At 45.1% G+C, this 27544-nt stretch overlaps 2 protein-coding genes across 3 annotated transcripts in view, besides 6 other annotated features; one reads left to right on the forward strand and one right to left on the reverse strand.

Moving 5' to 3' along the window:
• Positions 208-937: a silencer, noted in NCBI's record as "silent region_10482". NCBI's record gives its function as "represses an Ori minimal core promoter by ATAC-STARR-seq in GM12878 lymphoblastoid cells {active_cell/tissue: GM12878}" and the evidence as "EXISTENCE:reporter gene assay evidence [ECO:0000049][PMID:35858748]".
• Positions 283-459: a silencer, noted in NCBI's record as "fragment chr19:33071921-33072097 (GRCh37/hg19 assembly coordinates)". NCBI's record gives its function as "represses an EF-1alpha promoter that drives an FKBP-Casp9 reporter gene in an ReSE screen in K562 erythroleukemia cells {active_cell/tissue: K562}" and the evidence as "EXISTENCE:reporter gene assay evidence [ECO:0000049][PMID:32094911]".
• Positions 458-6721, forward strand: PDCD5 (programmed cell death 5). Of its 2 annotated transcripts, NM_004708.4 has the most exons (6): positions 458-595; positions 1463-1500; positions 4218-4279; positions 5084-5175; positions 6126-6197; positions 6521-6721. In NM_004708.4, exons 1-6 carry the CDS (start codon positions 530-532, stop codon positions 6566-6568), a joined length of 378 nt encoding a protein of 125 aa, NP_004699.1. In that variant the 5' UTR covers positions 458-529; the 3' UTR covers positions 6569-6721. The 2 variants fall into 2 exon arrangements, with proteins under 2 accessions (NP_004699.1, XP_005259449.1); XM_005259392.6 differs by lacking the exon at positions 6521-6721 and having other exon boundaries at positions 5084-6174.
• Positions 11965-12466: an enhancer, noted in NCBI's record as "H3K4me1 hESC enhancer chr19:33083603-33084104 (GRCh37/hg19 assembly coordinates)". NCBI's record gives its function as "activates a minimal SCP1, AML or CMV promoter by ChIP-STARR-seq in primed H9 embryonic stem cells {active_cell/tissue: H9 hESC(primed)}" and the evidence as "EXISTENCE:reporter gene assay evidence [ECO:0000049][PMID:30033119]".
• Positions 11965-13456: a biological region, named in NCBI's record as "CDK7 strongly-dependent group 2 enhancer GRCh37_chr19:33083895-33085094".
• Positions 12257-13456: an enhancer, noted in NCBI's record as "CDK7 strongly-dependent group 2 enhancer chr19:33083895-33085094 (GRCh37/hg19 assembly coordinates)". NCBI's record gives its function as "activates an origin of replication core promoter dependent on BRD2, BRD4, P300/CBP, MED14 and CDK7 cofactors, with strong dependence on CDK7, by STARR-seq in HCT116 cells {active_cell/tissue: HCT116}" and the evidence as "EXISTENCE:reporter gene assay evidence [ECO:0000049][PMID:35650434]".
• Positions 12467-12966: an enhancer, noted in NCBI's record as "H3K4me1 hESC enhancer chr19:33084105-33084604 (GRCh37/hg19 assembly coordinates)". NCBI's record gives its function as "activates a minimal SCP1, AML or CMV promoter by ChIP-STARR-seq in primed H9 embryonic stem cells {active_cell/tissue: H9 hESC(primed)}" and the evidence as "EXISTENCE:reporter gene assay evidence [ECO:0000049][PMID:30033119]".
• Positions 16274-27544, reverse strand: part of ANKRD27 (ankyrin repeat domain 27) — a 78175-nt gene continuing 66904 nt past the window's right edge. The window contains exons 23-29 of the mRNA NM_032139.3: positions 26903-27100; positions 25103-25222; positions 23531-23692; positions 21283-21394; positions 19240-19318; positions 18972-19044; positions 16274-17646 (exon numbers count right to left, since the gene is read on the reverse strand). Coding sequence (NP_115515.2) covers positions 17413-17646; positions 18972-19044; positions 19240-19318; positions 21283-21394; positions 23531-23692; positions 25103-25222; positions 26903-27100 — 978 coding nt within the window. The 3' untranslated portion in view covers positions 16274-17412. The remainder of the gene's footprint in view (positions 17647-18971; positions 19045-19239; positions 19319-21282; positions 21395-23530; positions 23693-25102; positions 25223-26902; positions 27101-27544) is intronic.

A 27544-nucleotide genomic window follows, 5' to 3' on the forward strand; every position in this document is an offset into this window, starting at 1 on the left:
TCGGGACCACAGGCGGCGAGCCACCGGCCGGCCTCTGTGTGCACCGAGGAGCCGGGCAGCCACCGCCACGATCCAGCTTTAGGACATTTCCATCACCCCACTCAGCCTTCCTGCGCCCCTGGTTCCTCATCTATAAATAGAGATAATATACGCCTAACCCTCTAGGTCACCAGCACATTGCACCCATAATTATTATACTTGTTGATGCCACACTTTCAGGTTTTAACCTTTCCAAAGCGCAGCCCCGCCCCAGCGCAGCCCAAGTCCCTGCACGCAGAGGCGCCGATCACGGGTGGGAGGTGGATCCCGGAGGCCCCGCCCCAGGCCCCGCCCCTCCGTGCGCCCAAGCTCGACCGCCTGAAATCGGGGAATCGGGCCTCTGCCGGCGCCCTGGCAGCGGCGCGGGGCGTGGCTCCGGGCTGGATTGGTGGCGCCTGGGCCCCGCGAGCGCCTGCGCAGTGGTCAAGGCCGCGCTCGCGCCGAGGGGCTGCGAGAGTGACCGCGGCTGCTCCAGCGCTGACGCCGAGCCATGGCGGACGAGGAGCTTGAGGCGCTGAGGAGACAGAGGCTGGCCGAGCTGCAGGCCAAACACGGGGTGAGCGCATCAGCCCCCGCCAGGCTTGGCCCTCGCGGGGCGCCGCCCTCGCCCGGAGTGTAGGGCGCGCCTCCGGGGCGGAGGCTCTGGGCGCCTCCCCGGGGCCCCGGTCCCCTGCGCTGCCCTGGCGGCCTCGTGGCCGGCTCAGAGGTGGCCTCGTCGCTTTCCTCGTCGCGAGGGGCCCAGGAGGCTGGCGGCGGGGGCCGCCACGTGCGGGACCTGCCCTGGCGTTGGGGTGTGGGGTCCCCTAGCCTGGAGCGGGCTCGTCCTGGCGGGCCTGGATCCAAGCACAATCTCAGCTTTTGGAGCCAGCAGCCGGACCGAATTCAGTTTTTCCGGAGTTCAGTTGTTATGACCCAAGTTTAGCCGACAGGTATTGAGGGTCCGCTGTGTTCCCGGTGCTGAGAGCGCGGCAGGGTCGGAGGAACGCTTGCCCCGCCGGGATGACAGGGAGGGGCCGCCTGGGAAGCTTGGATGGATCACACGCCCGGAGAGGCGTTTCTGATAAGGGACCGGGACCTTAGGGACGGAGGGCGCAGTCTTTGAGTTATCGTTGTCCCTAATACCGAGGCCCGTTTTATTTTCCAGAAATTATTCCTACATGTGAAACACGGTTTCGTAATACAGGGATTCCCCTCCCCAGGGTGCTCTGTATTCCAAAGCCTTCTGAGGTTGTGGTTTTAGACGTTCATCAAAACGTTGTAAGTGGGAACTAGTTCATTGATTTCTGTGAGGCCCAGTTTCTTATTTGGGGAGTTGTTTCTACCACCGCAAGAGACTGTTATGTATAGGAAACAACAGAACCGTTCCTTTTTCCCGCCGCCTCCCGTGAAATTTCTCTATTAAATTTAAGTTTTTTTTTTCCAGGATCCTGGTGATGCGGCCCAACAGGAAGCAAAGCACAGGTATGGGCTGGAAACGTGAACTTTTTGAAGGGTGGTTTCACCAAATGGATTTCTTTTGCTGTAGTTATTTTAAGCAGGTGTGTGACTCAGATTTTTTTGTTTTGCTGGAATGGTGATTTGGCCAAAATCATCCGCAGGGTATCTTCATTATTGTTAAATAAACACGTGTGCAGCTCCACATCAGACCTTGTATTGCAATTACTGGTTGATGTTTCTCTGCTACAATGTGAGTACCTTAAAAATGAGCCTGATAATAGGCAGCTGTGGCAGTTTCCTCGGCTGTGGGGGTGACGTGAGTCCGGTGCCTCACTTAGTAAGTGCTCAATAAGTGTTAACTGGTAAGCTATTCTGATTGTTTTATCCCAACACAGCGCACAGCACCTGAGACAGATGCAGGTAATTGATTCGGTGGCAGGTTTATTGAATGAGTATGTGATTACCCTATCATGCTATCATTTTTTAAAAATTGTGGTTAAATAAAATTTCACCATCACAACCATTTTTAAGTGTGCTCTTCAGTAGTGTTCACACTCTAGAATGTTTTCATCTTGCAAGACTGAAACCTTTAGCTACTGGACAATTCTCTATTTCCCCTTCCTCACCTTCTTACTCCTCCTCTCCAGCAAATATTTATAGAGCACCTGCTCTGGGTCAGGCACTGTGCTGGGTCTACAGAAATAGGAAGGGAGGGTTCGGGAGAAGACAGACGGTGAGAAGTATCTGGAGTAGTGATAGGAAGTAAAACGACGCAAATTTCATTGATTTCTGCCGTGTACATCTTTTCATTGTCACATATCTGAAATCAGGATGCCTTTTAAAACAGATTGCTCTTGCCCCAGATTCTTCCAGAGGGGATTTACTTTTGACTCTGCTATCACTTGAGTACATTTCTGAGACCATTGAAAGTTAAATTCTCTGCTTGAGGTTTTCCCCTGCCTCCTGCCTAGTAGTGTGAATTCAGACAGCAACCCTGTAAGACTGAACTTTTTTCTTCTTTACGTCAGGGCCAGGTGCATGCAAGCTTTTGTACTGCCCCTTACTGCATGGCATATTTATTTATTCTTTACTTTGTACTGAGAATGTTGCTCTTTGATACCCCAGTGGTGGGATCAGAACTCACTGCAGCCTCAAACTCCTGCTGGGCTCAAGTGATCCTCCCACCTCAGCCTCCTGAGGAGCTGAGATGACAGGCGTGCACCACCATGCCTGGCTAATTTTTTTAAACTTTTTTTTTTTTTAATAGCCTCGCTATATCACCCAGGCTGGTCTCAAACTCCTGGCTTCAAGTGATCCTCCCACCTTGGCCTCCCGAGAAACCCCAGTTTTGAATGGAGATCTCTATTAGACCTCTCATTTTAGGGTTTTTCATTTTTAGAGATACGTAAAACTATGGTGTATCTTAGAATTGATGGCATCTTAGGGTTCTGTGATATAATAGTTTGTGGCAGGCCAGGTGTGGTGACTGAAGCCTGTAGACCCAGCTACTCAGGAGGCCGAGGGGGAAGAATCACTTGAGCACAGGAGCTTGAGCTGATCATAGCTGCAGTGAGCTGTGATTGCACCACTGTACTCCAGCATGAACAGCAGAGTGAGACCCCATCTTTTTTTATTGTTGTTGAGATGAAGTCTCACTCCATCACCCAGGCTGGAGTGCAGTGGCACAATCTTGGCTCACCGTAACCTCTGCCTCTGAGCTTCAAGCGATTCTCCTGCCTCTGCCTCCCAAGTAGCTGGGATTACAGGCACCCGCCACCATGCCCGGCTAATTTTTGTATTTTTAGTAGAGATGGGGTTTCACCATGTTGGCCAGGCTGGTCTCAAACTCCTGACCTCAAGTGATCCACCCACCTCAGCCTCCCAAAGTGCTGAGATTACAGGCATGAGCCACCATGCCTGGCCTAGACCCCATCTCTTAAAGTTTGTGGCAGGGCTGCAGTACTCAAACCATAAAGAAGTGGCCTATGGAAATGAGCTTTAAGCCACATTCCATGAACCGAAGGGCCTCTGAGCTGGGAGTGGATAGTGGGCACAGCCAGCCCCAGCTCTCCCTCTCAGTTGAGCCAAAGCATCTGTGCTCATTTGTTTTTAGATTTCTTAAAGGATTTCATTTGAAAGAAAAAAGAAACAAGTCCATGAGACCACTGTCCTGTGAACGTGAACTACTTTCTATTTGGGTAGGTAGGAAGAAGTGAGGATAGTTGCAAAGTTATAATTTCATTCCCCTTCCCCACCCAGAAAAATAGAACTGAGAGTCTTAAAACATGGAATCTGGCTGTAGCTTGGCCACAGTTACCTATGTCTCTTTAGCATAGCCTCCTGGATCTCAGCTTTATCTCTAAGAAAATGATATAGATTAGTCACATGGTCCTTCTAATTGCCTGAAATCCCACTATAAATTTCTAGCACCTGTCACGCAATAGGTACTTAAGAAATGTTGGTGATGGTGTTTGAACTGAGGCTCCACTCTGATGAAACTGTAAAGCTCACCTTCCAGCCTGGTAGGTTGTCACCTGTGTAATATAAAGCTGGTTCTTTGAGGGCAAAAGGGGATTCTACTTGAATGTAGCTGCAGCCTTATGTACAGCAACTACCATAATGCAGTTTGTATACCGCAGGCCCCATGTGGAGACACATACTGGATGGGTTCTTTCTCGTATGTTACATGGGAATGCCGACAGCTGTGTTTTAATTGTGTTTGACCTATGTTTTCGTTGTAGGGAAGCAGAAATGAGAAACAGTATCTTAGCCCAAGTTCTGGATCAGTCGGCCCGGGCCAGGTGTAAGCATCTTTGATTTCATTTCCATAAAGTTAGCTTGAGTTAGTTGAATGGGGTGATTAGATACCATTATTGCTATCACTAGATGAAATATTTGCTTAGGCTGAAAACACTTGAGATGTGTAAGAAGTGTGAAGTTTATAAACCTAGAGAACTGTACTTTAATCCCTAGTAAAAGTACCAGGTCACTTCTCTTACCAAGATGTTCTCCAGGTGTGTATTAGGTAAGATTTATAGGAAACAACTCATAGGGCCAATCACAAAATGTTGCTGGTAGTTGACATTTTGTGTCAACTGGTGATGGGGACTGGGGATGGGGGACTTAGGGGCTTTTTATATGTATTGTCAGTTTTAGTGTATGTTCAGAGTTGTTCATCATAAAAACCAAAACCTGTAGAAAGAAAAAATGAGACAGTCAGAATGAACTGGTATTTTCTGTATTTTAACTGGAAGCCCAGTTTGAGTGTAGAAAAGGCGGCCACAGGTGGATCACCACCATTATGTGTAATAGATAAACCGCTTTCCAGAGGGCAGTCATATATTTTAAGAAACAGGAAGCATGGTGCTTAGAATCTGAGAACCCAACTTTAATCTTGGCTGGGCCACTACCCCCATGTGCCCATGTGGAGATTGGCATGGGTGAACTTCAGTTTTCTCATTTTTAAGAGGAGTAACAATACTGTCTTGCCCTACACTGAGGGACAAGCTTGTGAAGTGCTTTGGAAAGGTCAATGCATAGTTTTAAGGTATAACATAAGTGCATTTGATTTTAATGGATTTTTTGCATATGTATTTTTTCTTTTTAGTAAGTAACTTAGCACTTGTAAAGCCTGAAAAAACTAAAGCAGTAGAGAATTACCTTATACAGATGGCAAGATATGGACAACTAAGTGAGAAGGTAAGCTTAGACAGCCTTGAGGAACTTTACTGTTACCTGCTTTATCAAAACATGGCTTCAAAAGGTCAGCTGCATCTTCACTGGATTACAGAATTCTTGCTGACTCTCAGAAGAAATTGTTGGAGAGAATAGTCATACCTACTTTAAAAGAGAATAAATTGCCTTTCCTAAATTCCTCTGCTTCGCTCCTTTCCTGGCGTTGCTCTGGAACCTTGTTGGTGTCTGTGACCCAATGACTGTTAGGGTCAGCTAGCTTCAATTGCCCCTGCACTGGAAGCAAGGTTTGTCAGTAACACCAATTAAAATACTACCAGTGTAAGTAGAAGGTGTGTTTTGCAGATGAGAAGGTGCTAAGATGCCTTGCTTATGTTCTCTGTGTTGCTGTAATACCATGAGGGGTATGTTGTGGCAAACCTGGCCTTTGAGATCAAGACGAACCCCACCTGCCCTGAGAAGCCGTCTGCTACCACCACAGCCTACCCGAATTGGTCCTGTCCCCTAAACCCCTCACACTGAGAACTGCTTGTGTGGGAGAGAGCTGGTTGGGTTGATCTTTTCCGAGTGTGACTTACCTCCTTCAAGGGGATGTTTAAGCTTCTCGGGCAGAAGTGGTGTGTCTATTCCTGACACCAAACACCGTGGTATATGTGGTTGTCACACTCAGCTAGTGATGATAAAGGTGTTCTTAAATATGTTAGCTTTCAGTTTTCCTGAGGAAGCAATTTTATGGATACTTCCCCCTCCTTCTCAAGTGAGGAATAGCAGAGCAAATTTTATTTGGAACTTAAACCAATAGTTATAACCAATAGTTTCAACCTCCTGCCTCACCACTGCTTCCTTCCTGAGCTCTTTCCCCACACCTCAAAAAGAGTACAAAGTGATTCCATCTGCAGAGGTAAATTCTTTGTTTAAAAAAGTACTGTTTTTCTTATCTTTTCTGGTTCTCCTAGGTATCAGAACAAGGTTTAATAGAAATCCTTAAAAAAGTAAGCCAACAAACAGAAAAGACAACAACAGTGAAAGTAAGTGTCCCCAGATGCTTGTGGCAAATGAAAAGATGGATACTTTAAAGATTAATGTTGAGTATACATCTACCACACATATTTTTCAGCCCAGAGACATTTTCCTTTTGTCAAACACGTGAAAGTTTGGGGAGAAAGGCTGAATCTGTTGGGGGAGGGTTCTAATTTTTATAGGCTCTTGACTCCATTCCCACCCTTTTAGTTCACGCTAAGTTGCTTTAAAGACACAAATGTCTTGCTAAAATTGGTAGAAATCTTTTCTCGGAAAATCTGAGTTATGCTTTATTAGAAATGTTCTGACACTCATTTAATTTTCCTCCCAGTTCAACAGAAGAAAAGTAATGGACTCTGATGAAGATGACGATTATTGAACTACAAGTGCTCACAGACTAGAACTTAACGGAACAAGTCTAGGACAGAAGTTAAGATCTGATTATTTACTTTGTTTATTGTCTATATGCCTTTTAAAAAAATAAACTTGTTATGCAAAATAAAACATTTGGGTAAGTTGTTTTAGTATCATAGCCAAGTGGCCAGATCTGTGTTTTGAATTTTTCCCCTTCCTACCAAAAGCTTTTTTTATTTTTATTTTTGTTATTATACTTTAAGTTTTAGGGTACATGTGCACAATGTGCAGGTTAGTTACATATGTATACATGTGCCATGCTGGTGCGCTGCACCCACTAACTTGTCATCTAGCATTAGGTATATCTCCCAATGCTATCCCTCCCCCCTCCCCCCACCCCACAAGAGTCCCCAGAGTGTGATGTTCCCCTTCCTGTGTCCATGTGTTCTCATTGTTCAGTTCCCACCTATGAGTGAGAATATGCGGTGTTTGGTTTTTTGTTCTTGCGATAGTTTACTGAGAATGATGATTTCCAATTTCATCCATGTCCCTACAAAGGACATGAACTCATCATTTTTTATGGCTGCATAGTATTCCATGGTGTATATGTGCCACATTTTCTTAATCCAGTCTATCATTGTGGGACATTTGGGTTGGTTCCAAGTCTTCGCTATTGTGAATAGTGCCGCAATAAACATACATGTGCATGTGTCTATATAGCAGCATGATTTATAGTCCTTTGGGTATATACCCAGTAATGGGATGGCTGGGTCAAATGGTATTTCTAGTTCTAGATCCCTGAGGAATTGCCACACTGACTTCCACAATGGTCGAACTAGTTTACAGTCCCACCAACAGTGTAATAGTGTTCCTATTTCTCCACATCCTCTCCAGCACCTGTTGTTTCCTGACTTTTTAATGATTGCTATTCTAACCGGTGTGAGATGATATCTCATTGTGGTTTTGATTTGCATTTCTCTGATGGCCAGTGATGGTCAGCATTTTTTCATGTGTTTTTTGGCTGCATAAATGTCTTCTTTTGAGAAGTGTCTGTTCATGTCCTTCGCCCACTTTTTGATGGGGTTGTTTGTTTTTTTCTTGTAAATTTGTTGGAGTTCACTGTAGATTGTGGATATTAGCCCTTTGTCAGATGAGTAGGTTGTGAAAATTTTCTCCCATTTTGTGGGTTGCCCGTTCACTCTGATGGTAGTTTCTTTTGCTGTGCAGAAGCTCTTTAGTTTAATTAGATCCCATTTGTCAATTTTGGCTTTTGTTGCCATTGCTTTTGGTGTTTTAGACATGAAGTCCTTGCCCATGCCTATGTCCTGAATGGTAATGCCTAGGTTTTCTTCTAGGATTTTTATGGTTTTAGGTCTAACGTTTAAGTCTTTAATCCATCTTGAATTGATTTTTGTATAAGGTGTAAGGAAGGGATCCAGTTTCAGCTTTTTACATATGGCTAGCCAGTTTTCCCAGCACCATTTATTAAATAGGGAATCCTTTCCCCATTGCTTGTTTTTCTCAGGTTTGTCAAAGATCAAATAGTTGTAGATATGCGTCATTATTTCTGAGGGCTCTGTTCTGTTCCATTGATCTATATCTCTGTTTTGGTACCAGTACCATGCTGTTTTGGTTACTGTAGCCTTGTAGTATAGTTTGAAGTCAGGTAGCGTGATGCCTCCAGCTTTGTTCTTTTGGCTTAGGATTGACTTGGCGATGCAGGCTCTTTTTTGGTTCCATATGAATTTTGAAGTAGTTTTTTCCAATTCTGTGAAGAAAGTCATTGGTAGCTTGATGGGGATGGCATTGAATCTATAAATTACCTTGGGCAGTATGGCCATTTTCACAATATTGATTCTTCCTACCCATGAGCATGGAATGTTCTTCCATTTCTTTGTATCCTCTTTTATTTCATTGAGCAGTGGTTTGTAGTTCTCCTTGAAGAGGTCCTTCACGTCCCTTGTAAGGTGGATTCCTAGGTATTTGATTCTCTTTGAAGCAATTGTGAATGGGAGTTCACTCATGATTTGGCTGTTTGTCTGTTATTGGTGTATAAGAATGCCTGTGATTTTTGCACATTGATTTTGTATCCTGAGACTTTGCTGAAGTTGTTTATCAGCTTAAGGAGATTTTGGGCTGAGACAGTGGGGTTTTCTAGATATACAATCATGTCATCTGCAAACAGGGACAATTTGACTTCCTCTTTTCCTAAATGAATATCTTTTATTTCCTTCTCCTGCCTAATTGCCCTGGCCAGAACTTCCAACACTATGTTGAATAGGAGTGGTGAGAGAGGGCACCCCTGTCTTGTGCCAGTTTTCAAAGGGAATGCTTCCAGTTTTTGCCCATTCAGTATGATATTGGCTGTGGGTGTGTCATAGATAGCTCTTATTATTTTGAGATACATCCCATCAGTACCTAATTTATTGAGAGTTTTTAGCATGAAGGGTTGTTGAATTTTGTCAAAGGCCTTTTCTGCATCTATTGAGATAATCATGTGGTTTTTGTCTTTGGTTCTGTTTATATGCTGGATTACATTTATTGATTTGCGAATGTTGAACCAGCCTTGCATCCCAGGGATGAAGCCCACTTGATCATGGTGGATAAGCTTTTTGATGTGCTGCTGGATTCGGTTTGCCAGTATTTTATTGAGGATTTTTGCATCAATGTTCATCAAGGATATTGGTCTAAAATTCTCCTTTTTTGGTTGTGTCTCTGCCAGGCTTTGGTATCAGGATGATGCTGGCCTCATAAAATGAGTTAGGGAGGATTCCCTCTTTTTCTATTGATTGGAATAGTTTCAGAAGGAATGGTACCAGTTCCTCCTTGTACCTCTGGTAGAATTCGGCTGTGAATCCATCTGGTCCTGGACTCTTTGGTTGGTAAGCTGTTGATTATTGCCACAATTTCAGCTCCTGTTATTGGTCTATTCAGAGATTCAACTTCTTCCTGGTTTAGTCTTGGGAGAGTGTATGTGTCGAGGAATTTATCCATTTCTTCTAGATTTTCTAGTTTATTTGCGTAGAGGTGTTTGTAGTATTCTCTGATGGTAGTTTGTATTTCTGTGGGATCGGTGGTGATATCCCCTTTATCATTTTTTATTGTGTCTATTTGATTCTTATCTCTTTTTTTCTTTATTAGTCTTGCTAGCAGTCTATCAATTTTGTTGACCCTTTCAAAAAACCAGCTCCTGGATTCATTAATTTTTTGAAGGGTTTTTTGTGTCTCTCTTTCCTTCAGTTCTGCTCTGATTTTAGTTATTTCTTGCCTTCTGCTAGCTTTTGAATGTGTTTGCTCTTGCTTTTCTAGTTCTTTTAATTGTGATGTTAGGGTGTCAATTTTGGATCTTTCCTGCTTTCTCTTGTGGGCATTTAGTGCTATAAATTTCCCTCTACACACTGCTTTGAATGTGTCCCAGAGATTCTGGTATGTTGTGTCTTTGTTCTCATTGGTTTCAAAGAACATCTTTATTTCTGCCTTCATTTAGTTATGTACCCAGTAGTCATTCAGGAGCAGGTTGTTCAGTTTCCATGTAGTTGAGCTGTTTTGAATGAGTTTCTTAATCCTGAGTTCTAGTTTGATTGCACTGTGGTCTGAGAGATAGTTTCTTATAATTTCTGTTCTTTTACATTTGCTGAGGAGAGCTTCCAACTATGTGGTCAATTTTGGAATCGGTGTGGTGCTGAAAAAAATGTATATTCTGTTGATTTGGGGTGGAGAGTTCTGTAGATGTCTATTAGGTCCACTTGGTGCAGAGCTGAGTTCAATTCCTGGGTATCCTTGTTAACTTTCCGTCTCATTGATCTGTCTAATGTTGACAGTGGGGTGTTAAAGTCTCCCATTATTAATGTGTTGGGAGTCTAAGTCTCTTTGTAGGTCACTCAGGACTTGCTTTATGAATCTGGGTGCTCCTGTATTGGGTGCATATATATTTAGGATAGTTAGCTCTTCTTGTTGAATTGATCCCTTTACCATTATGTAATGGCCTCTTTGTCTCTTTTGATCTTTGTTGGTTTAAAGTCTGTTTTATCAGAGACTAGGATTGCAACCCCTGCCTTTTTTGTTTTCCATTTGCTTGGTAGATCTTCCTCCATCCTTTTATTTTGAGCCTATGTGTGTCTCTGCATGTGAGATGGGTTTCCTGAATACAGCACACTGATGGGTCTTGACTCTTTATCCAATTTGCCAGTCTGTGTCTTTTAATTGGAGCATTTAGTCCATTTACATTTAAAGTTAATATTGTTATGTGTGAATTTGATCCTGTCATTATGATGTTAGCTGGTTATTTTGCTCATTAGTTGATGCAGTTTCTTCCTAGTCTTGATGGTCTTTACATTTTGGCATGATTTTGCAGTGGCTGGTACCGGTTGTTCCTTTCCATGTTTAGTGCTTCCTTCAGGAGCTCTTTTAGGGCAGGCCTGGTGGTGACAAAATCTCTCAGCATTTGCTTGTCTGTAAAGTGTTTTATTTCTCCTTCACTTATGAAGCTTAATTTGGCTGGATATGAAATTCTGGGTTGAAAATTCTTTTCTTTAAGAATGTTGAATATTGGCCCCCACTCTCTTCTGGCTTGTAGAGTTTCTGCCGAGAGATCCGCTGTTAGTCTCATGGGCTTCCCTTTGTGGGTAACCTGACCTTTCTCTCTGGCTGCCCTTAACATTTTTTCCTTCATTTCAACTTTGGTGAATCTGACAATTTTGTGTCTTGGAGTTGCTCTTCTCGAGGAGTATCTTTGTGGCGTTCTCTGTATTTCCTGAATCTGAATGTTGGCCTGCCTTGCTAGATTGGGGAAGTTCTCCTGGATAATATCCTGCAGTGTTTTCCAACTTGGTTCCATTCTCCCCATCACTTTCAGGTACACCAATCAGACGTAGATTTGGTCTTTTCACATAGTCCCATATTTCTTGGAGGCTTTATTCATTTTATTTTTTCTCTAAACTTCCCTTCTTGCTTCATTTCATTCATTTCATCTTCTATCGCTGATACCCTTTCTTCCAGTTGATCGCATCGGCTCCTGAGGCTTCTGCATTCTTCACGTAGTTCTTGAGCCTTGGCTTTCGGCTCCATCAGCTCCTTTAAGCACTTCTCTGTATTGGTTATTCTAGTTATACATTCGTCTGAATTTTTTTCAAAGTTTTTAACTTCTTTGCCTTTGGTTTGAATTTCCTCCTGTAGCTCGTAGTTTGATCGTCTGAAGTCTTCTTCTCTCAGCTCATCAAAGTCATTCTCCGTCCAGCTTTGTTCCATTGCTGGTGAGGAACTGCGTTCCTTTGGAGGAGGAGAGGCGCTCTGCTTTTTAGAGTTTCCAGTTTTCTGCTCTGTTTTTTCCCCATCTTTGTGGTTTTATCTACTTTTGGTCTTTGATGATGGTGATGTACAGATGGGTTTTTGGTGTGGATGTCCTTTCTGTTTGTTAGTTTTCCTTCTAACAGGACCCTCAGCTGCAGGTCTGTTGGAGTTTGCTAGAGGTCCACTCCAGACCCTGTTTGCCTGGGTATCAGCAGTGGTGTTTGCAGAACAGCGGTTTTTCATGAACCGCGAATGCTGTTGTCTGATCATTCCTCAGGAAGTTTTGTCTCAGAGTACCTGGCCGTGTGAAGTGTCAGTCTGCCCCTACTGGGGGGTGCCTCCCAGTTAGGCGGGTCAGGAGTCAGGGATCCACTTGAGGAGGCAGTCTGCCCATTCTCAGATCTCCAGCTGCGTGCTGGGAGAACCACTGCTCTCTTCAAAGCTGTCAGACAGGGACATTTAAGTCTGCAGAGGTTACCGCTGTCTTTTTGTTTGTCTGTGCCCTGCCCCCAGAGGTGGAGCCTACTGAGGCAGGCAGGCCTCCTTGAGCTGTGGTGGGCTCCACCCAGTTCGAGCTTCCAGGCTGCTTTGTTTACCTAAGCAAGCCTGGGCAATGGCGGGCGCCCCTCCCCCAGCCTCGCTGCCGCCTTGCAGTCAGCGAGACTCTGTGGGCGTAGGACCCTCCGAGCCAGGTGCGGGATATAATCTGGTGCGCCGTTTTTTAAGCCCGTTGGAAAAGGCGCAGTATTTGGGTGGGAGTGACCCGATTTTCCAGGTGCCGTCTGTCACCCCTTTCTTTGACTAGGAAAGGGAACTCCCTGACCCCTTGTGCTTCCCGAGTGAGGCAATGCCTCGCCCTGCTTCGGCTAGCGCACGGTGGGCTGCACCCACTGACCTGCACCGTCTGGCACTCCCTAGTGAGATGAACCCGGTACCTCAGATGGAAATGCTGAAATCACCCATCTTCTGCGTTGCTCACGCTGGGAGCTGTAGACCAGAGCTGTTCCTATTCGGCCATCTTGGCTCCTCCCTGACCAAAAGCTTTTAAGCACGTGTACCAGCATGACTCTACCCTTTGCAACTGTGCCATGAATATTAGATAGGAAAAGTGTCCGTGGCGGAAACAGAAGCTGCTCCAGCACTCTTCAGGAAGAAAAATATAGCAGCAGCAGCAGCAGCCGCCAATAACATAAGGGGAATTAAAACCTGTCCATCAGACTGAATCAGGTTCAACATTTGAGCACATCTAATATTCTAAGATGTAGATTCTGAAAGCAGGTAAGCTCTTTCTCTTCCTGCAGATACTACTTCCACTTAATGTAAGAAAATTCCTAGCTTTGCCAGGCACAGTGGCTAACACCTGTGATCCCAGCACTTTGGGAGGCTGAGGCTGGCAGGTCATTTGAGGTCGGGAGTTTGAGACCAGCCTGGCCAACATGGTGAAACCCTGTCTCTACTAAAAATATAAAAATTAGCTGGGCGTGGTGGCACACACCTGTAATCCCAGCTACTTGGGAGGCTCGAACCTGGTAGGCAGAGGTTGCAGTGAGCTGAGATCAGGCCATTGCACTCCAACCTGGGTGATTCCATCTCAAAGAAAAAAAAAAGCTAGCTTTGATCTCATTTATAATTGTTTTTCAGAGGTACTGATATTAACAAATACCACTCCCTCCAAAATAACTAGAGTGATAATGACTGAAAAAGAAAATGACCAAAATAGACATGTTGGTAATGCTACTACAGTAATAAACATGTTTGTAAGAGAAATGACTTCTAATGATTTCAAATCCAGTTGAGACACTTCAGCATTTAAACATTTTGGTAACATATCACTGATAATGTTGCAGGTGACTTAAATGTTCTCTCTTTTGTTGTGCTTTCTTTCCACTAGGTTATGAAAACCTGCACTCATAAGTTACGGTTTTCAGAGACGGAGACTTGCTGTGTTGCTGAGGCTGGCCTCAAACTCCTGAGTTTAACTGATCTTCCCACCTCAGCCTCCCTCGTAGCTGAGACTGTAGGTGCAAGCCACTGCTCATATATTTAAATCATAAACTTAACCATCAACCAGCTGTTTGGTGTAACCTTTTAAATGTCGTAGTCCTGTGAGACCTAGCACAGGATTAAATTCATAAATTTAACAAGGTGAATAGGATTAGTAAAAAAATGAAGGGAAATGTGGTTTGCAAACCCCAGTCTCTGCGTTAGCCAGCATACTACTGATACATGTTTAAACTGGAGATTCTACTATATTTGAAATTTGCAACTATTGTCAGTGAAGAAATAGAACAATATCTAACATTATAAATAAGTAGAACCGTTGAGAACATCAACATATTTTTAAAAGAATGATCATAAGATGAAATCTGGCTGGGGATTTTCTGTCAGGGTAAACTGGTAATTTAAAAAAAATTTGGTCGGGGATTTTGAAAAAAATCCCATTTACAGGTAAATTTTGCTTTAGGCCTCATTTACATACAAATGCTAGGAGGACATGAGGCAGTTCACAAGTTCTGTGCTTTCTCACAGGATAACCACTGTCCTAATGGCAACTGCTGTGAGTGTGTTTAAAGATGGTCAGACTCTTTCAGACACCTACCTGAGAGTGAAAAGTGGTTCCATGTACAAGGAGAGAGGTTCCTGATGGCAATAAGAGGCTGGAGTACATTTTAGGGAGTGGAGAGTGGTTATTCTAAACTTTCTAATTTAAATCAGTGAACTTGCGTTACTTTGAATTCAAAACTTTTTTCCACAAAAATGGAAATTAGGGGCATTAATTTCTCAACTGTCACATCAAGTTTTGGGTAGGGAAAGCAATTGGAAAAAACAACTGGTTGTTTGCTTTTTTTTGAGATGGAGTATTGCTCTGTTGCCAGGCTGGAGTGCAGTGGCATGATCTTGGCTCACTGCAACCTCTCTCCCAGGTTCAAGCAATTCTCCTGCCTCAGCATCCCAAGTAGCTGGGATTACAAGCGCACGCCACCACACCCAGCTAATTTTTGTACTTTTAGTATAGACAGGGTTTCACCATGTTGGCCAGGATGACAACTGTTTTTTAAAAATAATCGAGGGAGTCACTTAAGATGGAAAACATTACTGATGACCAGAATAGCTCAAAAAGAAACAGCATTTACCTCTCCAGAGGAAGGGTACACCAAGCTTGCAGCTGCCACTGCCAACCAGGCCTTGATCCTGGCTGTGAGATCCCTCGCAGTCCCCTTATTTTTCTGAACCTGTTTCCTCATTTGACAATTCTACCATTCACAGTGATTGTTGAAATTAAATGGGTATATGTGAAAATGTTTTCAGCTGGGCGCAGTCGCTCATGCCTGCAATCCCAGCACTTCGGGAGGCCAATGTGGGCAGATCACTTGAGGTCAGGAGTTCAAGACCAGCCTGGCCAACATGGTGAAACCCCATCTCTACCAAAGATATAAAAATTAGCCAGGCATGGATGGTGGCAGGTACCTGTAATCCCAGCTATGCGGGAGGCTGAGGCAGGAGAATTGCTTGAATCTGGGAGGCAGAGGCTGCAGTGAGCCGAGATGGTGCCACTGCACTCCAGCCTGGGTGACAGAGCGAGACTCCATCATCTCAAGAAAATGTTTTCAAAATTATATTGCACTACCCCAACATATTAGGTGGTGTCAAATGTGTGTATTTGTATCTTGAGAATACCTGTGCTGATAAACTGTATAGGATGTATTAATTAGGATGGTATAGAACCACAGCAGCTTCAGTCTATAAGGTGGTTTTGTTTAAAAGTAGGGAAGGCTGGGCATGGTGGCTCACACCTGTAATCCCAGCACTTTGGGAGGCCGAGGCGGGCGGATCACGAGGTCAGGAGATTGAGACCATCCTGGCTAACACGGTGAAAAACCCTGTCTCTACTAAAAATACAAAAACAAAAAAACAAAAACAAAAAAAACACTAGCCGGGCATGGTGGTGGGTTCCTATAGTCCCAGCTACTCAGGAGGCTGAGGCAGAAGAATTGCTTGAACCTGGGAGGCGGAGGCTGCAGTGAGCCGAGATGGTGCCACTGCACTCCAGCCTGGGTGACAGAGCGAGACTCCATCTCAAAAAAAAAAAAAAAAGGGAAAAGGAAAAATCAGAACAAAGAAATTAGCAAAGCAACAGGGCTCATTTCCTGTTTGTTTGGGGTAGGAAGCTGTATTCATTTTATTCTTCTGATTTCCAAAGAAAAACATTTTTGTGGGCCCGGGACACTGTGCCTACTGGGTTAAGTAGGCCTTGGTCAGTAGATGAATAATGAGCTAAGTGATCAAGTTCCCATGTTTCAATCTCACATCTATAACTGAAAAATGTATATCCATTCAATGGGGACCCTTTTTCTCACACACAAAGCACATGTTTACAGCAGACAGGCTGAGAAACATATCATCTGCAGCCAAACAACTAAAAAAAAATACCATGACACAGTCAAGAATCATAAAGTTTACTGTTTCTTTTCCATCATTTGGCACATATCCAAGGCACATTAGAAAATTAGAAATCATAAATTACTTTGTAGAAAAATAATCCCTCCCTTCCTTCTGTACATACACAAGTATTTCCAAGAACATGGACAAAACCATTTCCCTATCACAAGGTCATTTGAAAACGGACTCAGGACAAACCCATATACGTGTAGCTCTAGGCCAATAACATAAAAATAACAGTATAATCTATAGAAATTTATAAAAAGGAATAAATGGCAATAAATTCTAACCGAAAGTAACTCTGACCTGGTTTGTGCTGTTAAGTTTTGAATTTGAATCAAAAGACTAAGAAAAGATGTGCCAAATCTACTCTCTAATCCAGTAACCATCCCGTCAGGTGTGAGTGTGACAGACATTCAAGGGAGGTTCTCAACAAAAAGGGATGTTTCTAGAAATACTGCTACAGGTGCACGTGTAGTAACCGAATATCTGTACCTACTTGTTAGAAGGAAAATGATAACCACCCTTTCCCATGTGCATGATGTGGAACAGGTCTGATGCATCCTTTCACTAAAATGAATATCAAAATGGGATTGAGGCATCTTTTGGTTCGAGTGTTGCTTTGCAAAGAAACATTGTCCAGCTGCTGCTTTCTTCCTTCAGATATGACATTTCAGCCTGGCCTCTACAGTACCATGAAACCTAAATTACTTACTTCTCTCCAGCTTAATCCTAGGTGGAGGAATTCTAGCTGTGGTTTGTGAATGTACACAGGTCAGAGAGGTTTAGCACCTTTTGGGAGGAGGAGGTCAGAATGCGGTGGTGAAACCTCTCCCACTGTGACCAACAAACCCTCATACTTAAAAAGAAGCATGCACCTCTGGCTTAAGGATCTGGATGCTACTGGAATTTTTGTCTGTTTCAATTGTATTCATTAGCTTTGAAGAGGAGAGAGATGGTGGTGGTTAACTTTTTTGTTGCATTCTTTCCTGCCACAGAAAAGCTTTCAGGAACTTGGTGCTGAAGACTTCTCAAGCCAGTCTCATGGAAGCACATTTAGTTCTCAGATGTGTTCACGCTCAGCATCATCTTGTTGCATCCTTGCTTCCTAGCAGTGGGTTCAACAACTCCTCATTCCTGTTAGGACCGGGAAGCACTAACCTCTTGGGGAGTGGAGAGGGGGCCAGCAGCCTCCGGGCCCTGGGACACGACCGCATCCTCTACCGTGTGTCTCCGCAGCATCCGTCTGTGTCCAGGGCCAGTCTGTGTCAGTCCAGGCCTCTCTGGCCAGTCGCTGTTGCCTTTCTCAGCAGCATGAGATCCACTCTGAGCTGGCAGGTTATTCTGTCTCAGTGTGACACTTTGCCTCCCTGGCTAAAGAAAAAGTACATTTTTAACCGTTGACGTCCTCACTGTACTGGAAGCCACAACCATGACAGTGACAGCTGCCCCTTAGTGCCTAGTGTCACATAATGTGCTCAGTGCTTGACAGGCATAATTTCAATTCTCACATCCCTGTCGTGGTAACATGGCATGTGCATACTACATGTGTCAGAGTAAATGTTTCACTTGTTTTCACAATCTTTATGACTCTAGGAGGCATGTACTACTATTGTTATCCCCGTTTTACACCTGAGGAAACAGGATCAGCAAAGTTAAGCCACCTGCCTAAAGTCCTACAGCTAGCAAGGGAAAAGCTAGCACTTGATGGAACTCAGGCAGATTTCAACGATTCTGGCTTTCCCACAAAGCAGCAGGTCTCCTAGCAACACCACATAAGACTAAATATGGTATCAAAATTAGTCATGTTAATTAAAATCATTTTAATTATCTAAAACAATTTAGAACTTTTGTGTATTTGTTCCAACAAGCCTATGCTACATATGCTATAAATTCTCATCAGCAACAAGGAAAGCTGTGGTTCTGAGAAGAATCACTGTCTCCGATCACAGGTTTTCAATCAAGCTTCTGAGTGATTTAAAAATGCAGTAGGGTCCGGGCACGGTGGCTCACACTTGTAATCCCAGCACACTGGGAGGCCAAAGCGGGCAGATCACTTGAGGTCAGGAGTTCAAGACCAGCCTGGCCAACGTGGTGAAACTGCGTCTCTACTAAAAATACAAAAAAATTAGCCAGGAATAGTGGCACATGCCTGTAATCCCAGCTACTCAGGAGGCTGAGGCGGGAGAATGCTTGAACCCGGGAGGTGGAGACTGCAGTGAGCCGAGATCGTGCCACTGCACTCCAGCCTGGGCCACAGAGCAAGACTCTGTCTCAAATAAATAAATAAAAAAATGTAGTGGGAAGATGGCCACATAAAGAATTGTCTGAGCAACTGTACACCATACTTGGAGACATCATTTACCCATCTATATACAAACTGTCGTTTTCTTTCTTTGGTGATTAAAACCATAGTGAAATGTGGGATGTTTCATCTCCTATAAGCACCAAGACCTGTGGTTTCCCACACATGTAACACTTTCCACTCCTCTGCTCAGAAATGTACTTTTAGTTATAACAATCAGTGAAGTCTGTACTCTACACTGTCCCATGAAATAATTCCAGTTTTAACTGCTGCTAACTCATACGGCGCACGGAATAATGAAGATGACGATCAAGGAGACGTGTTTACCATGGATTACTTTTGACAAAGCCGGGCTTTAGAAAATATGATTAAAAGCCAGTGTTTAATAACTTACCTCATGCAAAGAACCTTCGGTTAAATTAGGGACACTTCTATCTCTTGCCATAATCTCCCTTGAAGTCTTTCCCCTAAAACCCAAAATAAACGAAAATAAATATTTGGGACAGTGGCATGAAACACTCTGGTTGGCCACAAGGTGGCAGCATTTTTGACATTAGTAGGTGCAGATTTGTCCATAACCAATTACAATTGAAGCAGCTTACGTGCAGCTTGGAGTAAACTAGGGGCAAAAGCACAGAAATCAACTTGAGTTTCATACTCACTTAAACTGACCAGCTGAGTGGACAAAGTAAAACTGTCTTGTAAAAGGCTCATCTGGTAGATCATACAGTTTTGAGTTCCCTGTAGATAAAAAGATAAACATCTAAAAACTTCAAAAACAGTTGTAAAGATTATTTTAAAATTACAGCACAGACACAATCTTTCTATTCTCAGATTTACAAAATTTAGAAACTGAAGCACTGAATTTGCTTAAAGAAACACAGCTAGTACCTATTTATAACAGGTTGAGTATCTCCAATCCAAAAATCTAAAGCCTAAAATGCCACAGGCTGGGTGCAGTGGCTCATGCCTGTAATCCCAGCAGTTTGGGAGGCCGAGGTGGGCATATCACTTGAGGTCAGGAGTTCAAGACCAGCCTGGGCAACATGGAGAAACCCCATCTCTACCCAAAATACAAAAACTTAGCCAGGCGTGGTGGCACGCACCTATAATCCCAGCTACTCAAGAGGCTGAGGCAGGAGACTCGCTTGAACCCAGGAGGCAGAGGTTGCAGTGAGCCGAGATTGCACCACCACACTCCAGCCTGGGCGACAGAGCAAGACTCCATCTCAAAAAAAAGCTACAAAATCCGAGACATTTTGAACTCTTTGACTTCATGCTCAGAAGAATCTGATTTCCTGATTTGGATCCTCAACCAATGAGTATAATGCAAATATTCCAAAACCCAAAACACTGCTGGTCCCAAGCATTTGAGATAGGGGGTAGTCAGCCTGTATTATGAGAACCCCCATGAAATAGAAAAATAAAACCTTAACTCCCTTAACTCCCCCAGCCACAACCAATTACGGTGAGACAGTCTCAGGGTTATCGAGATATGTGAATGGGTTTATCCATATTATTGTATTGCATTATTGCATACCTCACTGGATAATATTTCATATTGTAAATTAAAAAAAAAAGTAGAACAAGGACCCCTTCTAAACTTTTTAAAAAGAAGAAAATACTTCAGTCTCACTGCTGTTCGGCAACTGCTGTTTTAATTATAATCAACCTCCGTACACGTACAAACTTAAAAAAAAATCTTGAGGCCAGGCGCGGTGGCTCACACCTGTAACTCCAGCACTTTGGGAGGCCAAGGAGGGCGGATCACTTGAGGTCAGGAGTTTGAGACCAGCCTGGCCAACATTGTGAAACCCTGTCTCTACTAAAAATACAAAAATTAGCCAGGCATGGTGGCACGTGCCTGTAATCCTAGCTACTCGGGAGGCTGAGGAAGGGGAATAACTTGAACCCAGGAGGCAGAGGTTGCGTGAGCTGAGATTGCACCACTGCGCTCCAGCCTGGGTGACAGAGTGAGACTCTGTCTCAAAAAAACTAACTAAATAAAAAATCTTGGTGGCTCACACCTGTAATCTCAGCACTTTGGGAGGCCAAGGCGGGCAGATCACGAGGTCAGGAGATGGAGACCATCCTGGCTAACACGGTGAAGCCCCTCTCTACTAAAAATACAAAAACAAAATTAGCTGGGCGTGGTGGCTGGCACCTGTAGTCCCAGCTACTTGAGAGTGGGAGGCAGCTACTTGAGGCAGGAGAATGGCGTGAACCCAGGAGGCAGAGCTGGCAGTGAGCTGAGATCACACTACTGCACTCCAGCCTGGGTGACAGAGCGAGACTCTGTCTCAAAAAAAAAAAAAAAAAAAAAATCTTGAAAGGTAGCATTTACCCTGGATGTCCAGGAAATGCCCAGAACACCTGACTTTGGAACATGAGGCATGAAAGAAACTATCCCAGAGACTGTTCCCCATCTCCATAGGCAGACACCTGAACCTTCAAGGTAGTGTTGACAGTTTCTATCCTATTTCCTCAGGAAACATCATTACCATCAACCAGAAAACTAGTAACAAAAAAAGCTTACCCATAGTCTGATAAATTGGGAGGTAACATACATTTCTTTGGTGCCTGTATCTCCTCCAGGCATGATTATAATTACACTTTACATATACAATTAAATGAACACCAGCAACTACTCATGAATGTCTAAATATACCCAACTTGAGCGTGACAGAAAGAACGTAAACTCTTACATTTTTTCCTGATCTTAACAGTGACATACTCCTTGCGGTCAGTTTCAGCCACATCATCTAATGAAGCAACACAGCTTGGTACCACCTGAAGCAATTCCATTATTTTTGAATTCTGCAATTTGAAAGGGAAAAGGAACAGTAATGTTTTTATTCTTTTTTAATAGGTTATTATTTGTTTTTGATCTAAATGTCAGTATTAGTGTGACTGGGCAGAAAAAGCTCAGAAATAATTACAAATGGAGCTTGGAGGCCATAAAGCCCAGTGGTAAAAGCAGGCCTGCATGGGGAGCCCGGCTCTGCTTTTACCACTGGGTAAAAGCTCTGCCCTCTCTGTGGACTCCACGCTGGGGATTCAACCACTCCATGCAACCAGCTCAACCATAATAAGATCTACTATCATATGCTTATCATGAGGCTGTTGAGGGCCCCCATATAGTAAGTACTCATTGAAACACATTAATTAACTGGGCACGGTGGCTCACGCGTGCAATCCCACCACTTTGGGAGACTGAGGTGGGAGGATTGCTTGAGCCCAGGTGTTCAAGACTAGCCTGGGCAACATAGCAAGGCCCTGTCTCTATTTAAAAATAATAAAAGGCCAGGCGCGATGGCTCACGCCTGTAATCTCAGCACTTTTGAGAGGCCGAGGCGGGTGGATTGCTTGAGCCCAGGCAGTCGAGACCAGCCTGGCCAACATGGCAAAACCCTGTCTCTATTAAAAAAAAATTAGCTGGTCATGGTGGCACACGCCTATAGTCCCAGCTACTTGGGAGGCTGAGGTTGGAGGATCATCTGCGCCCAAAGGTTAAGGCTGCAGTGAGCCAAGATTGCACCATTATACTCCAGCCTGGGCAACAAATTGAGACTCTGTCTCAAAAAATAATAATAATAATAAAATTAAAAATTTTAAAAACCAAAAAAAATTCAACATAATCATTTAAGAAAGTACTAAACTGAGAGTTTAAAATATTTCAATTCTGTCACTGAAAATTAATATAAGGAGGCCAGGCACAGTGGCTCACGTCTGTAATCCCAGCACTTCGGGATGCCAAGGGAGGCGGATCAGTTAGGTCAGGTGTTCAAGACCAGCCTGAGCAATATGGTGAAACCCGTCTCTACAAAAAATACAAAAATTTAGCCAGGTGTGGTGCCACGTGCCTGTAATCCCAGCTACTCAGGAGGCTGAGGCACGAGAATCGCTTGAACCCAGGAGGCAGAGGTTGCAGTGAGCCAAGATCACGCCACAACAGAGCAAGACTCTGTCTTAAGAAACAAAAAATTACTCTAAGGAGCCTGTCCATGGAGTGGATTGATGGTGATGTTAGCTTCTCAGTTGTGTCACTTAACAGCCTACTCGCTGTCTATCTTGGGTAGAAAACAAAAGAAAGACTCAGCAGGAAAACAGGAACAGAAAGAGCTGCCGCTCGCCAGGGGAAAAGGACCCTTCCCCGCCGCTCTCCACGCAAGCATCCACAGCACTGGAGAAGGCAGTAGGCCAATAATCACGATTCCTACAGGACTCAAGGACTTTTACTTTCATTTTTTTGAGATAAAGTCTCTGTCACCCAGGCTGGAGTGCAGTGGCACAATCTCAGCTCACTACAGCCTTGACCTCCTGGGCTCAAGCGATCCTCCCACCTCAGCCTCCTGAGTAGCTGGGACTACAGGCATGCACCCCTATGCTCGGCTGATTTTTTGATTTTTTGTAGAGAGGGGGTCTCACTATGTTGCCCAGGCTGGTCATGAGCTCCTGCGCTCAAGTGATCCTCCTTCCTTGGCCTCCCAAAGTGCTGGGATTACAGGCATGAGCCACTGTGCCTGGCCTCAAGGAGTTTTAAATCCACCAACAAAACAAACCTTCTCCATCGTGCTGCTAAGACAACGGCTGTGTTCACACTGTGAGGATGGTGACACCAGAACATCATGACTTGCTCCTTCCTGAGTGCCTGACTCTATGTAACTACCGGACCACAGCCCTACTGCTAGCTGAGGGGGGGGCCCCTCCACTCAGGCCTTTGAAAACCACCTGTGAAAAGAATGATTCCTGGTTCCCAGAGCACCACCTCTGACCAGGAGACTGAGGACCAGCCATCTACCCACGCTGTGGACTTCTGGCACACCAACTACGCCCAGCCCGGCGATGCCAAGGGCCAGGTGTTGCTATTTTAGATCCAGCTTAAACAAAGGGATCCAGAGGGAGCTGTGAGGAGCTCAGGATTCCCTCGGCTCTTCGACCCTCTCCACCTACCTGTTCAGCACAGTCTACAGCCGTGCGCTGCCGCTTGTTCAGCACCTGAACTGACGCTCCGTGGAGCAGAAGCAGCTCTACCACGAAGACGTGCTTTTCAATCACAGCCTCGTGCAGCGCTGTGTTGCCCTTATTGTTAGAAGCGTTAATGGAGGCCCCGTGCTGGAAAGAGAAACCACACGATCAAAAGGAACGCTACGAAACGTCAGCATGGAATCTGGCTGTGGGTATACAGGTATTCGCTATAAAACACATTGTTTTTTTTATGTCTGAAAGTTTCCTTAAAATTTGGGGAGGAAAAGTAATACTGAGAAAAAAAGATTTATAGACAAAGAGTTCGCTGCAGCATTTATCCTAATAGCAGAGAAAACAGAAGCCACTTAAATGTACAGAGCAGAAACAGGTTCAAAAAAATCACTATGGTATATCCATAGTTATGCAACCATTAAAAATCAAAGTTTGAGTAAATAAGTTTCTACATTAAATAACATTAAGACAGAAAACAATACTTGGGGCCAGGCACAGTGGCCCATGCCTATAATCCCAGCACTTTGGGAGGCAGAGGCAGGTGGATCACCTGAGGTCAGGAGTTCAAGACCAGCCTGGCCAACATAGTGAAATCCCATCTCTACTAAAAAAAAACACCAAAAAACAAAAAAATTAGCTGGGCATGGTGGTGGGCGCCTGTAGTTCCAGCTATTCGGGAGGCTGAGGCAGGAGAATCGCTTGAACCCCGGAGGCAGAGGTTGCAGTGAGCTGAGAGTAAGCCACTGCATTCCTAGGTGACAGAGCGAGACTCCATCTCGGAAAAAGAGAAAACAATACTTGGCGAGGCCCCGTGGCTTACACCCGTAATCCAGCACTTTAGGAGGCCAGTGCAAGAGGATCGTTGGAGCTCAGGAGTTTGAGACCAGCCTGGGCAACATAGTGAGACCCCCATCTCTACTAAAAACAAACAGCAAAAACTAGCCAGGTGCAGTGGTATGTATCTGTAGTCCCAGTTAGCTGGGAGGCTGAGGCACCTGAGCCTGGGAGACTGAGGCTGCAGTGAGCTGTGAGGGTGCCATTGCATTCCAGCCTGGGCCACAGAGCAAGACCTTGTCTCAAAAAAAAATTAATAAATAACACTGAAACTATACACATTTGTCAAAAGTCCACCATAATGAGTTTCCCTTGAGTAGCACAGTCATGGACAGGTTGGTTTTTCCCTACTTCTTTAAGAAATTCTAATGCATTCACATAACCTTTTTCAAGAGCAGCAGGGACAGAGGCGGCCACTCAGCCCATGCTCAGGTAACAGCGTGACACATTCCCGGTCGGTGAGGTGAGACCCAAACCCTTGGCAAAAGCAGCGTCGGAGCCCTTGAGACCGCATCCCAGATGCTGGGGCACCATCTGTTCCCATCGGAGAACCCCGTGTGGGAAGACGCACGCCCTGCTCCTCTCCCCAGAGGCCTGGGGTTGATGGGTGGCCGGGCCTCTCCATCCCCAGTGCGCTGCGGGGGTCGCTGGGTGGAGGCGCCCTGTTAACTGGCGCAGGTGTGTAGAATGAGGACAGGAAGGGGCCCTCACCTGTAGCAGCAGTGCCACAAGCTCGTGATGGCCACCGGAGCAGGCGTAAATGAGGGGCGTGTTTCCACTGAGGTCCTTCTTATTGGGTTTTGCATTCGAATCTAACAGACACTTCACCACCTGGGCCAGAGAAGGAAAACGTGCAAACTTAATCAAAATTTCTGTCATTTCCTGCCAGAGAAAAATTATGAAAAATAAATAAATAAATAAATAAAATAAGAAAACAAAGTTTCTGGAGAGAAATGCTCAAGTTTGATATTCTTTTGACTTGTCTCTGAGCTTATTTTTTTGTTGTTGTTCTTTTTGGTTTTTCTTTCTTTTTTTTTTTTTTTTTTCCAGACAGAGTCTCGCTCTGTCGCCCAGGCTGGAGTGCAGTGGCGTGATCTTGGCTTACTCCAGCCTCCGCCTCCCAGGTTCAACTGATTCTCACGCCTCAGCCTCCTGAGCAGCTGGGACTACAGGCGCCTGCCACCACGCTTGGCTAATTTTCTGTATTTTCAGTAGAGACGGGGTTTCACCATGTTGGCAGGGCTGGCCTCGAACTCTTGACCTCAGGTGATCCACCCGTCTCGGCCTCCCAAAATGCTGGGATTACAGGCATGAGCCACCACGCCCAGCCGTCTCTGAGCTTATTGAGAAGACTTTAGACTCTCAGGAGAAAAGGGACCAGGTGAAGAGGGGAGGGCTACCATCTGCTGCGGGGCTGCTCTGTGCGGTTGAAGCGCAGGGTGACAGTGATCTCACTTCACCCGATGTGCTGGGCGACAGTGATCTCACTTCACCTTTCTATCCTTTCTACCTCAGGGAGAGCTGCAATCGCCACTCCGAATTTACAGATTAGGAAAGCCATGCCTGAAGCTCTATGCTAGGTGTTGGCGAGAGAGATGCAAGACCTGAAATATGGCTCCTTTCTTTAAAAAGTTAACAGTAGAACTGATAAAGGAAAATGAAAAAATATACACACAGTTTTCCTTAAAGAAAAGCAGGGCCTGGTGCTGTGGCTCATCCCTGTAATCCCAGTACTTTGGGAAGCCAAGGTGGGAGGATCGCTTGAGCTCAGGAGTTCAACACCAGTCTGGACAACATGGTGAAACCCCATCTCCACAAAAAAAAAAAAAAAAAAAAAAAAAAAAAAAAAAAGAAAAATTTATCTAGGTGTGGTGGTGCACGCCTGTGGTCCCAGCTACTAGGGAGGGAGGCTGAGATGGGAGGATTGTTTGAGCCCAGGAGATTGAGGCTGCAGTGTGAGCTGAGATTGCACCACTGCACTCCCACGCTCCAGCCTGGGAGACAGAGCAAGGTGATGTCTTAAAAAAAAAAAAAAAAAAAAAAGGCAAAAAACCCCAGCACTTTCAAAAAGTTAATCACTCCAAAATTCAAAATTCTTCCTTGAGCCCCTCTATGGGGCCCTGACTGTTCTTTATGAAGTGCTGAACTGTTTGGCCCAGAGCAAGGCACTGTCGGGGTGTAAAGGTGGTAAGATGACCATGGGGACAGTGCTCGGTGGCCACCACACGAGCTCAAGAGCCAGATCCTGCTGGGGGCAAGAATCAGAATGACAACCTCGGTATCACCCAGATGGGAGTGGCAGTGGGGCAGGGACTGGCTCCACCCCCAGGGAGCATCAAGGCTCTGTGCTCCGAGGCTGAGTGGCCTACCGTGTGCACCTCAGAATCTCAGGGCTCGGGGGAGCAGTGTCCTCCAGGGTAGCCACCAAACCCCTGCAGCGTTCCTACCAAGCACAAGGTCCTAGCCCAAAGCAGACACCCTGCTCCACCACCCCCAACACACAGCCCGAACCTGAAAGTGGCCCTGCTGGCAGGCCAGGTGGAGCGGGACGGCTTGGTCTGCGTTCCTGGCACCTGCGTTGGCCCCGTGCTTCAGCAGGAGGGGGATGAGGTCCGCCCGGCCGTGCAGGGCGGCGACATGCAGCGGGGAGGAGCCGTCCTGGCTGGTCACGTTCACACCAAGCCCACTGGCAGGAACCTTCGCCAGCCTCTGGGAAGCGCAGAAGATGGAAACACAAACGTCATCAGTATTGAAGAAACTGGGCTGGAGTGATTGGCACCATGTGCCCCCCACAGCTCCCACACACAATGCGGGATCATGGCGGGATCCAGGATGGATTCCAATTTGTTTAGAAGTATGTGGCATGCCAAAAAACAACTTCCTTTTTTTTTTTTTGAGACAGGGTCTCACTCTGTTGCCCAGGCTGGAGTGCAGTGGCACCACCATCATGGCTCACTACAGCCTCGACCTCCTAGGCTCAAGTGATCCTCCCGCCTCAGCCTCCCAAGTAGCTAGGTCCACAGGTGCAAGCCATTGTGCCCAGCTAATTTTTTTTTTTTTTTTTTTTTGTAGAGATGGGGTCTCACCAGCTGGCCCAGGCTGGTCTTGAACTCCCAGGTTCATGTGGTCCTCCCACCTCAGCCTCCCAAAGTG

The sequence above is a fragment of the Homo sapiens genome, chromosome 19, assembly GCF_000001405.40.
Source record: "Homo sapiens chromosome 19, GRCh38.p14 Primary Assembly".
In the NCBI taxonomy this organism is placed as follows: domain Eukaryota; kingdom Metazoa; phylum Chordata; class Mammalia; order Primates; family Hominidae; genus Homo; species Homo sapiens.